General features: G+C 45.5%; 1 protein-coding gene across 12 annotated transcripts in view, besides 1 other annotated feature; it reads right to left on the bottom strand.

The window, feature by feature from the left end:
* Positions 1,849-11,483, bottom strand: part of GRIK4 (glutamate ionotropic receptor kainate type subunit 4) — a 477,159-nt gene continuing 467,524 nt past the window's right edge. For all 12 annotated transcript variants that reach the window (NM_014619.5, NM_001440404.1, NM_001440403.1 and 9 more), the window contains 2 exons: positions 8,531-8,649; positions 1,849-4,851 (listed from right to left, as the gene is read on the bottom strand). In NM_014619.5, coding sequence (NP_055434.2) covers positions 4,495-4,851; positions 8,531-8,649 — 476 coding nt within the window. In that variant the 3' untranslated portion in view covers positions 1,849-4,494. The remainder of the gene's footprint in view (positions 4,852-8,530; positions 8,650-11,483) is intronic.
* Positions 4,652-4,731: a silencer, noted in NCBI's record as "silent region_3997". NCBI's record gives its function as "represses an Ori minimal core promoter by ATAC-STARR-seq in GM12878 lymphoblastoid cells {active_cell/tissue: GM12878}" and the evidence as "EXISTENCE:reporter gene assay evidence [ECO:0000049][PMID:35858748]".

Raw genomic sequence — 11,483 nt, 5'->3', positions numbered from 1 at the left:
TACAGGTAAAGTTAGTTTTTTCCTTCAAGCAGAGTATAGATCACTGCTTCTATGTCTCATTTCTGGCAAGATCTAATGTGGTGCTGGGTGCTAGGTAAATACCCTCTCCAGGTCACTCACCAATCTATGGAAAAGTGCCAGTGTTCCCTGACAACCAAGAGACAACACTTGATTGGTCACAAGGCATACTGAAGAATGGGCAGGATCTTCAGCTAATTTTCTACAGGAGGATCTTTTGCCCTAGATACAGATGATGGAGGGATTTGTCATCCATCATCTGTATCTAGTCTAACTTGTAAATAGGATCAAGTCCCCAGTAGGTACACCATCAGTCACAATGCACTGACATGCTTCGGTAAATCCTGGTGAGTGAAATATTTATATGCATATGCTTAGTTAACCTACAGCTATAGTATATGCTCAATTTTTTTATGACCCTTCTTGGGGCCTCAATTTTCTGCCACTTCTGGTAGAGAGCTTATTTTTTACTTCGTTGCCTTCATAGACTTCTTTCTTTCTTGATCTCAGCATTAGTTCTGCTGTTTGTTGAATGGTAACATTCGTATTTGTTTAATTCATTCTCCAGATTTGGAAATTGGTATGAAATTCATAAAACTTGAATGATAATGTTCTTACGGTAGTGGCGGAACTTCTCTTGCTTGATTGCCCTCAAATTACAAGAAGCTTGTTGACCATGTAGGCTCTAAAATTCGGAGTTTTTTTTTTTCCTTTGGAAGCCACACCCAGTAACAACTTTTTCCCCTATGGGAAAAGTCTTAGGAGAGCATGCTATCCCCAGCCTTTGAGGCAAACCTTAGGATGGGCAGGTTGTCAGTTCCTGAGGGCACTCTCTGTTTGGCCACTGTGGGGACCTGCCTGTGGGGAGAAAGTCACCATTCACCGAAAGGCAAAGGAATTACTCATGGTGCTTTAATTTCTCTTTGAGAAGGCCCCATAGGAAGCACTAGCTATAAGCAAAATCTTTATGAAAGGATTCCTTCTCTGAATTTTCCAAACAGGCCTCTTCGTTATTACCCCGAGAGAGCTGACAACTAGTCAGGCACTCAAATCTCCCTTATCATTTCCAGACTGTTTTACCTTGCTGTGAACACCCCATTGGTGGGAGGGCCACAAATGAGTCTCTCAAGCTTCTCTCAAACCACCAATCTGGTGTTGCTGAAATGCCCCAGCCCTTTTCTGGCCTTGTGTACTTGACTCCTACAACATGGGGAAGTTCCCCCTTGGATTCCAAAAGAAAATTAAGCTCCTTGGAATCCAAAACTAAGAAACTTTCACAGAGTGGCCCCAGGTGGATTGGTTATCATGATATTTCAGTCTCACCTAACCAATAAGAGAGCTGGCTGGCAAGTTCCCAGGAAGAATATTCTCATATGAGCAGTGGATTAGAGGAAGCCAAAAGATTTTCGGCCCTCTCCGTGCTCAACTTACACTCTACCTGGTTTCTGAGGTGAGATCTTGTGACGGTTGGGGCCCTGCAAAGCAATTAAAAGAAATAAAGCAAAGTATTATATTTTAATTGATGTAATCTTCAAGCTCCCAGTGGAATCTGGGGTGATATCTGACTAGAGTTACCCTAGGTATCAATAGATGACTATTCTGTGAAAGTGCATTTAGGAAGACAAAACCCTAGGAATCCTGAACTTCATTAACATATGTATCCGCTTTTGGGGATGGGGGGGTGGATTGGCTCAGGCTCCTAGGACTAAAAATTGAAAGAAGCCACCTAGACTTTTCTGGGATCTGAACAAAGAGCCAAAGCGGGTGGGGGAGTAGAGAGGGAGGTGGAGAGAAGGAGACAGAGAGGGCAGGTGGAGGGGAAGACAAAAAGTGGGTTTATGATTTTATTTGCTTTTCAAGTCTAGTACCTGGATATTAGACACACTGAACCATACTTTCTAAACCCAAACAGCTGTCATCCATCACTAACATTTCAGGATTTGTTTCTGTTTTATTGTAAATATTCCAGTTGAAGAAAGATAAACAGACAAGAAAAAACTGCTTTATACAGTATACAGAGTCAGATAGAAAATACAGAATGGAAAAGAAAGCCAACAACCAACAGATAAAAAGTGGAAACAAACCAAGGAAGAGTATTAGCTGGTTGCAAATTCACCCACTAGCTTGAGCAAGGTGAGGCCCTGGTCTCAGCAGCTAACAGAAACCGTCTAGTGCTGGCAGTCTTATCTTGATTCCACACGGAGAAAGAAACAGACTATAAATGATGCATGGGGACATTTATTTCACTAATCCATTAAAAAAAGTTTGCTATTGATCAAGATAGCCTGCTCATAAAAACGAGTTTTTTTAAAAAACCACCCTTCCCGCCCCAAATGTGATCTGACAGTAGGAACCACGTTGTCTGTGAGAAGCATAGGATGGAGCTGCAGGTTGGAGCAGAGTGGCACCATTGGGGTTTGTTGTCAGCTGGCCTTCGGGTGCCCTTCCCACCAAATCCACGTTTCTCCACGAGGATCAAGGCAAGGTTTAAAAAAAGACACAAGTGTCTTGCACAGCTTGTTGTCATTTGATGGTTAAAGAGAAAAAAGATAAAGGATTCAAATTCATGAGTGAGGTCAGGTGAGGACAAAACGAGTATCCCTCACAGGAATAATCAGGGTACCATTTGGCCCCCAGGACGGCAGCCCTAACTGATTGTCCTGGCATAAAGAGGATGCCGACCAACCCAAATGGCAAAAACATGAATTAAGCTCGTCATCTTCCAAAGATGTCTTTATTTTAGTACATTTGCAACAGCAACAAAAGTGAGGACAATTCCATTCAAGGTGGTGGCAGCGGTGGTGGAGGTGGAGGTGGTTGGTAGCGGCTGTTTGTTTCTCTCTGAATTTTCTAAGTTTACAATCAGAAATTGCATAGAATTTGTTTTCCATCAGCCAATGAGAACTCTGCGTGAAACTCCCAATTAGTGAAGCCAAGCAAAGGTCAAGCAGCTGTAGAAAGCCTCGCCCCTCCCATCAGATGTGTGCTCTGGACTCTGCAAACTTCTCACATGGAGAGCAGTCACTAGCAGTCACCTGGTAACCTGGACAGCATCAGTAACTCCTATTTGGTAGATGGAAGAGAAGTTAAATGCTTTACCTAAAGTCATACAAGGTGGGAGGGCTACTGCTCAAGCTGAGGTTACGACTCAAGAGTTCCTGGTTCCCAGGCCCGTGTATTGACTAGGAGACTCCACCTCTCTCCCAGGAACCTAGCAAATTCTTGAATACTTAAGGTCTTTCTGTTGAATAAATACACACACGCACACGCGCGCACACATACACACACATACACTTGCACCCAGGTCTCACGTCTAAGTAGCAAGAAACCACCCAATCCATGATAGTCTTGGGGGTCTGGCTTCATAGGCAGCCACTCATTTGAGTTTGGTTGAAAAGAGATGCAGTTGACAAAGTATGCACCATACCAACGGGGTGGCCCAGTCCTTCCGCCTCTGTGAACGGCACGTTCCACCGGAAGCCAAGGCCATGGTATGGGAAAATTCTATCTGCTCTTTCCGCTCCTTAAACAAAGTCCTAGGATACTTTGTGCATTCTGTTCTCCTCCCCTGTCTGTCTTCAGAGACTACATTCACAAAAAGATCAAATCAAACCCAGTAATAGTGACAGTCAGAAAGAGAAAGGGAAAGAAAAGACAGATTAACCCTTGACATTCCAGGCGTTTCAAGGTCTGAGTATAGGATGAGTTAATTGCTTTTTGGCATCTCAAAGTTTACTGCAATGGACTTTTGAGACTCTCCATCTGATTCTTCCCAAGACTCCTTCTCCTGTGCTCCTGCAGGCCCCTCAGTCACCATACAGAGAGTTAAGCACCTGAAATCGGATGCACTGGTAACGCAATATTCCAAAATTCAGGAAAAAGAAGAAATAGGGATTATTTAGGCTTCCATTCCCTAACCCAGCCTCCCCCTCCAAAAAACACAAAACAAATTAACAGGACTGAGAAGATGACAAAGAAGAAAAGGAGAGGAGGAAAGAAAAGGGAAAAGAACATTAACAAAAATATACAAATCCAGAAAAGAAAAACTTCCCTGTTTAATTTTTTTTTTTTCTGTAAGAACTAGACGGAGGGTACATTGGCCCCTGACTAGGGGGAAATTCAACTGATGATTCCACCAATTCATTGGACTGGTCTGGGTAGGGACCCCCCACCCTATACTCTTGTTATTTTGGCGAGAGGGAAAGACCCACTGGGAGAAGATGGGTCCTTGTGCCCAGGAGGGAGGGCCGTCCTTTGCCCTTTGGGTGCAACGTTTCCGGGTGGACCCTGCTCCCTGACCGGGCGCGGTCTCTGGCTGGGGCGTCAGGCTCCTTGATCTTTTTGAAAAGTGACTGGATCCGAAATCTGGAGAGGTGTCGACGCTGTACAAGTTCCGGCTGGCGGCTGACAGCAGCGCCCGCCCCGCCCCTCCCCTCCCGCCCCGCCCGGCCTCTGCGCGTCCTGTGGCCTCCGGGACTACTCGGGCTCGCTGCTGTTGGTGGTTTTCTCCCACTCCAGGCTCTCCTCGCTGCGGGCGGGCGACGGCCGTGCCCGCAGGCCCTGGAAGCGGCGGCACTCGGGGCAGACGCGGATGTGCGTGCAGCCGCGGGCCACCAGGGCGGCCTCCTGCGCCAGTCTCTGCGCGAGCTGGTCGGGCTCCCCTGCCCCGCACAGCTTCCCGTTGCTGAGCGTCGCCGTGCCCCGCGGTCGGCGCTCCTCGGGGATGGGGGGCCGGGGCGGCGGGACTGCGGCGCGCCGCCGGCGGGGGTGGATACTGTCCTGACACAGGATAATGCTGCGCAGCTCGGTCACCATCTCCTGGCAGACGGACACCTGGAGGAGACAGCGAGGTCAGGGCCCAGCCTCTCAACCAGCCCCCGTGGGCCCCCTGCGAGTCCGCTGGGATGAGGGATGAAGGGGGCAGCGGTCACAGAATCGTGTCATCTTAAGTATGAAGATGATAAAAGCCTTTCAGTCCATCTCCTCACTCCACTCCCATTTAATGTTCAAACACCCTCCATACCATAATATTCAAGAGCCCCACCAGCTGGTCTCCAATCTTTGTTTGAACACCTTCAAAGACAATGATCTCACTTTTTTTTTTTTTTTGCACATTTCCATTAAATGCTGCTTCCTTTTACCGAGCTAACAATTTCTGTCCCTGAAATTTTCATTCATTGATCCCAGCTAAGTTTGGACCTTGAAGCCTACTAAATAAATAATTCCTCCACCACATGTCAGTCTCTCAAGTATTTGAAAAGGCCACCATGTCTCTATGAACATTCTGTTCCTTAGGCTAAGGATTCTTATTTCTTTTAGCCAACTGGTTATAGCAGGAGGTGGATGTATCCTCATGATAACCAAAACAAGAGGAGGGTAATACAAAGCACAAACAGTAGAGTATGTATCACACCCGGTGGGTCTGGGGCAGACTTGAATTCAAACCCGCTCATATTTCTGTAGCAACATCTCACACCGTGTGAGATAAAGGCCACAAACATCAGCCAAGCCACGCCGCCGCTGAGTGCATTTGCATCAAACTTACAAGGAACTTGGAACTCTCCAAGCTTTTTAGGTGTCAGAACTGTGGATGAAGAATACAGGATAGGGCTGGGCACAGTGGCTCACACCTGTAATCCCAGCACTTTGGAGGGCCGAGGTAGGCAGATCACTTGAGGTCAGGAGTTCGGGACCAGCCTGGCCAACATGGTGAAACCCTGTCTCTACTAAAACCACAAAATTTAGCTGGGCGTGGTGGCGTGTGCCTGTAATCTCAGCTACTCGGGAGGCTGAGTGGGGAAAATCACGTAAACCTGGGAGGCGGAGGTTGCAGTGAGCCAAGATACCTGCCACTGCACTCCATTCCAGCTTGGGCGACAGACTGAGACTCTATCTCAAAAAAAAAAAAAAAAAAAAGAATATAGATGGGCCTGCATTTTTGTTTGTTTGTTTGTTTTTGGTTTTTTTTAGACAAGAGTCTTCCTCTGTCGCCCAGGCTGGAGTGCAGTGGCACAATCTCAGCTCACTGCAACCTCCACCTCCTGGGTTCAAGCGATTCTTCTGCCTCAGCCTCTCCAGTAAGCTGGGATTACAGGCACGTGCCATCACACCCGGCTAAATTTTGTATTTCTTGGTAGAGACGGGGTTTCACTATGTTGGCCAGGCTGGTCTTGAACTGCCGACCTCATGATTCACCTGCCTCGGCCTCCCAAAGTGCTAGGATTACAGGCGTGAGCCACTGTGCCTGGCCGATGGGCCTGTATTACTACTATTACTATTATTATTATATCCATTTCACAAATGTGGAAATGGAGGCTCAGAGAAGTTATGTATGTTGCCAAAAATTGACTAATAGCTGACTCTGAATTTGGACCTAAACCTATCAACTCCAAGCCTGTACATGCTCTGTTGAGTGCTCTACTCTGAGTTGAAAGGACACTTTCCTAGACCATATGGGAGCAGAAGTCCTCAGTTCTTTAATGTTCTTTCGTCCAATTCTACCAATGGCATAGTTGTTCTACCACAGCCAAATCGCTAACATAGCACTGACTCTTTATTTTAGCTATTGGGACTGCTCTAACTACTTGCTGAATTTTTCAATATACTTCCAGACCATGGGTGAGCTTTGGGGAGAATAACAAAATGTGAGGCAGCTACAGAAAGGTGATGTCACTTAATGGAATAAGGCCTACATTAGTTTTCCCGACTTGGATTATAGGCCCCCATCACACCCCCCAATTGTTAACTAAATAGCAGAGACTCTTGGCAAGTCACTTAACCTCTCTGTGCTTCTAGTGATAACTACAATAAAAACAGTACCACCTGCCTAATCTATTACATGTGACAATACTATAACAATGTAGATTTATTGACTGTCTACTGCATGTCAAGCACAGGGATAAAAGACACAGTCTTTACTTCAGGCAGCTCAATCTCTAGTAGGGGGCTGATACCAAAATAACTGCAGCGTGGTGTGTAAGTGGTTCATGCATAGGTTACACTGGTGTCAGGAAGAAGGAGGGTGACCAATTGCTGGGAGACAGCAGGAGAAATGAGGAAGGACTCACAAGGAAGGGAACACCTGAACTAGGTCTTAGGGAATAAATAAGACCACCACCTTTTAAGGGGTGGGCAAAAGGAAAAAGCCAGTAAAGCTGGAGACAGCAACAGGAGGGGAACCAAGAGAGCTGGGTGCCACGCAAGGCAAGGGAAGAGGGATTCTGAAAGAAAGTATCCCCATCATCAAGGGACACACCAAAGTCCAATAAGGCCCAGTAGATTCTCTTTGGTTTGGTCCACTGGGAGGGGTCAGACCTTTAAGCATCGGCCTTTCGGTGCAGGGGTAGGGAGGAGCCAGGCTGCCCTGGGTTTCGGACCAAATCGGGAGTGAGGTGATGGAGACTGAGATTCTCTCAGCTGGATCCCCTTGGTTTGGAAGAGGAGAGGGATAGAGCAAGAGCAACAGTAATCTTCCTATTATTTTGAAATATGGCAGACACGTTCACAATGGTGGACTGGAGAAAGAGCAGGCAGAAAAAAATACAGGGGCAAAAGAGGATAATCCTGGAGCAGCTGAGGAAAGACAGGATCAAGGAAGGGACAGCAGGAGGACTGGGGTATCTGCTGCAGCTGCAGGGTGGCTGAGCTGTGGGGAGATGTTTAGTGGGGGTTTTAATTCAGGGCTAGCCACTCCTGATTTCTTGGGAGATGGGAAGTAAAATGAAGCTCTACGCATGCAGAAGCAGAGGGGCTTGAGGAATGGGCAACGGCGTGGAAGTCCTACAAGGAGACAGGAAAGAGGCTGAGCACAGTGGACCAGGACTGGCAGGCGGTGTTGTGTTAAGGCCCCATGTGAGGCCAGACTCCACGGACTTCCAGGGGCACTGTTTGTCCTGCTGTGAGATATTTTCCCAGTGCCAATTAGGAAAGGTTTTTAGGAAGATTCAGAGTTGGGAGACTGAGATAGAGGCTAATGTAACTTTTAAAAAAAATCTAATAATGCAATTAACATGTAAGGATTTATATATCTTCCCTGGGGTGGGTTGGAAGAAGAGTGGCATAGTCTTCTTCCTTCTTTTCAAACTGTTCAACCTGGGTAAAGTTTATGTTAACCCTGTCTCTAAGCCACAGCTGGGGAATTGAACTTATTCAAAATCCCCGAGAAGGGGGATAAAATTCTTGGGTTCGCATGAGTCGGGATATCTCTAAGGATCTTTCCCTGCAAGGCAAAAACATACTCAGAATGAAAGGACTGAGGTTGTCTTTTCCATAGTAACCTGGTACTTTCACCTATTTTTCTCAACTATATCTTAAATGATAGTTCTAGAAGGCTTTGTTGTTCATAATAATTACTAAGTAATGAAGCATTGATCCAAATCCCCTCTGCTGGGCACTGGGATTCTCTTTGCTGCACTTCCTGTGGTAAGCGTCTGAAATAACCTTATATGTGCATGAGCCTGTGAACTTCACCCCATCTGCCAACACGATCGATCATACCCCTTTGAAAGTTTACCTCAGTTGCTTCTGAGTGTCTGAGAGTCCATAAAAACTCCAACATAGCCATAAAAATGGCCACGATTAAGCCACAAATAAGAACCACAAAGATTCCACCAATATTCTCCATTCCCAGGCCTGTAAGAAAGTGATAACAAATGAAAAATATTGTAAAAGATCAGGAAGACACAATCATTTTATCAAAAATACTAAAATCATTCAAACAAGAACTTGAGTATGGTAGATGCTCAAGTAGACACCCATGCATCTACTTGACATGTAGACACCCAGTCCTTGAAGATATTTAATTATTTATCTGGAAAAAATGCAGCATAGTTGAAATAAAATGGAAGAGAGAGATCTTGCCATCAATCAAGGACACTGGCAAGAAGCCTACCAAAGGGTGTCTGGGGCTGGGAGGTGAGGACCATTTAAGAAAAGGGCTCGGGCAAACTCTTGACAGCTTATAGAGAGAGACATGACACCAAAATACCTGTCAGTTCTAATAGTTTCATTAAAGTTTTACTCAATCTTCCTAACATTGTATTTATGTGATATAAAAGCAACTGTTTTGACCAAACCATGGATAGAAAAAGTTATATTTACCTATCTTTGTCAACATGTTACTAAAATATTTATTTGGAAAGTAAAACTTTTTATCCCACCAAACGAGTGGTTCACAAACCAGCTGCCATCAGAACTGCCTAGAAAGCTGACTAAAAATATTGATTCCCAGTCCTTACCCCAGACCTACTCAATCAGTATCTCTGGACATGGGGCCCAGGAATCTGTATTTTTACAGAAGTTTCACAGGTGATTCTTTTCTAGTCATTCCTAAAATTAGTTTACAAATTGGTAATTTTAGAAGCATTGTGCAAGTATGTAAGTTCCTGGGAGTCAGACATTGTTTCTGGTCATGTCCTCATTGCAAAGCATGATACCTGGCACACAGTATATAGTCAATAAATACTTATAGGATATGATATGGCTGTTTCATTTCCACTGTGTCAAACATTGAGTTCAGCTATGTAATTAAATGCTTTTTATTTTTGGCATTAGAGAAACCCAAACACAAAACACCCTGATTCAACTGGGGCCACAATCAGAAATCAAAAGGCATCTTTCATCCAGGAGGGTCTCTTGTGTCCCGTGTTTTTCAGGAATGCTTGCACATCTGAATGTTCAGTCAGTAATGTCCTCACAGAACATGGAGCCTCGTCAGTGTCGGGGCAGTCAGCTTCGCACGGCACTATGAGATGAGTCACAGGGCCAGATCAGAAATCGACGCTACCTTCTGCACCTTGGAAAGCTGGAAAAATAGCTCTATGGCCATTTCAGTATGCCCAGGGTTTCCTTTTACAAAGCCCTAAGTGGATGTCTGACTTTTGTTTTTAAAATAACACAGTGCAGTAGCTGTCCCTGCCTACAACTGAAAATCTGCTTGGAACGACTCTGAGGACTCACATGATGAACACACCAAATGAACTATACACTCTGATCTGCAGGACCACAGTCAACTCTTGAGTACCTGTGTGAATGTGGGAATCCTGTATTTTGAACAATCAAAAATAGGGGATCATTTAAAAACTCAATTCTACCTTCCAGGGGGAAGGTGCTTAAATGGGCAAAAAGCCCTTAAAACACCTATATTTGGAGGCCCAATCTCACATAAAAGAAAGTAGAAGAAAATGCACCCACATCTTACGTTAACACCTGTCCCTCTAACCTGGGGCATTTGGGTAGAAAGTTTTCACTCTGGGAGCATCAAGAGCCACAAGAAGTAGGGGATGAAAAAGGGACACTTAAAAGGGAATGTACCAAGGAGCTGGCTGGGGTTGTAGGCAGATACTTCAGCCCACAGATTTAGGGGTGGTGAGAACTGGAGTATTAGGATGTGTATCTGTGCAACACGGATGAATTACCTTCTCTGGCCAGCCCCTGTCGAGGGAGGCTGGGTGGACATCCCCCATGACTGGGGAAATGACAATGGTGACATGAAGGATGGCCACCTGCTCAGGTAACTGGAGTCCCCAAGTGACTGCTGAGAGTCTACAGGATGCCCCCATCACTTGGCAATAGTTGTGCTCGAGATAGAAAACAGGAAAAGGGGCTGGATGCAGTGGTGCATGCCTGTAATCCTAGCCCTTTGGGAGGCCAAGGCAGGCAGATCACTTGATGTCAGGAGTTCGAGACCAGCCTGGCCATCATGATAAAACCCCATCTCCACTAAAAATGCAAAAATTAGCCGGGCATGGTGGCTCACACCTGTTAATCCCAGCTACTCGGAAGGCTGAGATAGGAGAATCACTCGAACCCAAGAGGTGGAGGCTGCCACTTGATCCGACATCGTGCCCCAGCACTCCAGCCTGGGCAACAGAGTGAGACTCCATCTCAAAAACAAAAACAAAAGAAAACAGGACAAGGCCCCCTTGCAGAGGGTCTCGCATTCCTCTTGTTTCTGTAGAGGGGGTTTTCTTTCCCCTTTAGGTCTTCTTCTGCTACCTGTGTTCCAGCTGTGCCCCCTGCCTCCCTATCAGTCACCTCCCTGGTCCTCCTCCAGTCTTCTCTCCACTGGCTCTCTCCCTCAGCACATTCACATACTCATGTTTCTCCCTCCTTGAAGACAAAGAAATTCTCCTTACTCTCTCCAACTCTGTCTAATCCAACACTTCTCTCTCCTTCCATGGCCGAGCTTTTTGAGAGTGGTCTACATCAGAATTATTTTAAGACCTTCTAAAAGCCCTTAAAAACACTTACATTTGGAGGAGCCATCTCACATAAAAGGAAGTAGAACAAAATGCACCCAGATCTTATGTTAAATGCATTTAAAAATTTTTGCTTCTGATATTACTGAGTGGCAAGAAACAGTTAACTTACAACTGGCTGTGCTTTCTCAGCAATCATTGCACATACATACAAAAGAATGTTGCAAAGTTAAAAATCTAATCAAAAAATTATTTCTACATGTAATG

Source organism: Homo sapiens, chromosome 11 (genome assembly GCF_000001405.40).
Source record: "Homo sapiens chromosome 11, GRCh38.p14 Primary Assembly".
NCBI lineage: Eukaryota > Metazoa > Chordata > Mammalia > Primates > Hominidae > Homo > Homo sapiens.
This window is presented reverse-complemented; position numbering and strand designations above follow the sequence as displayed.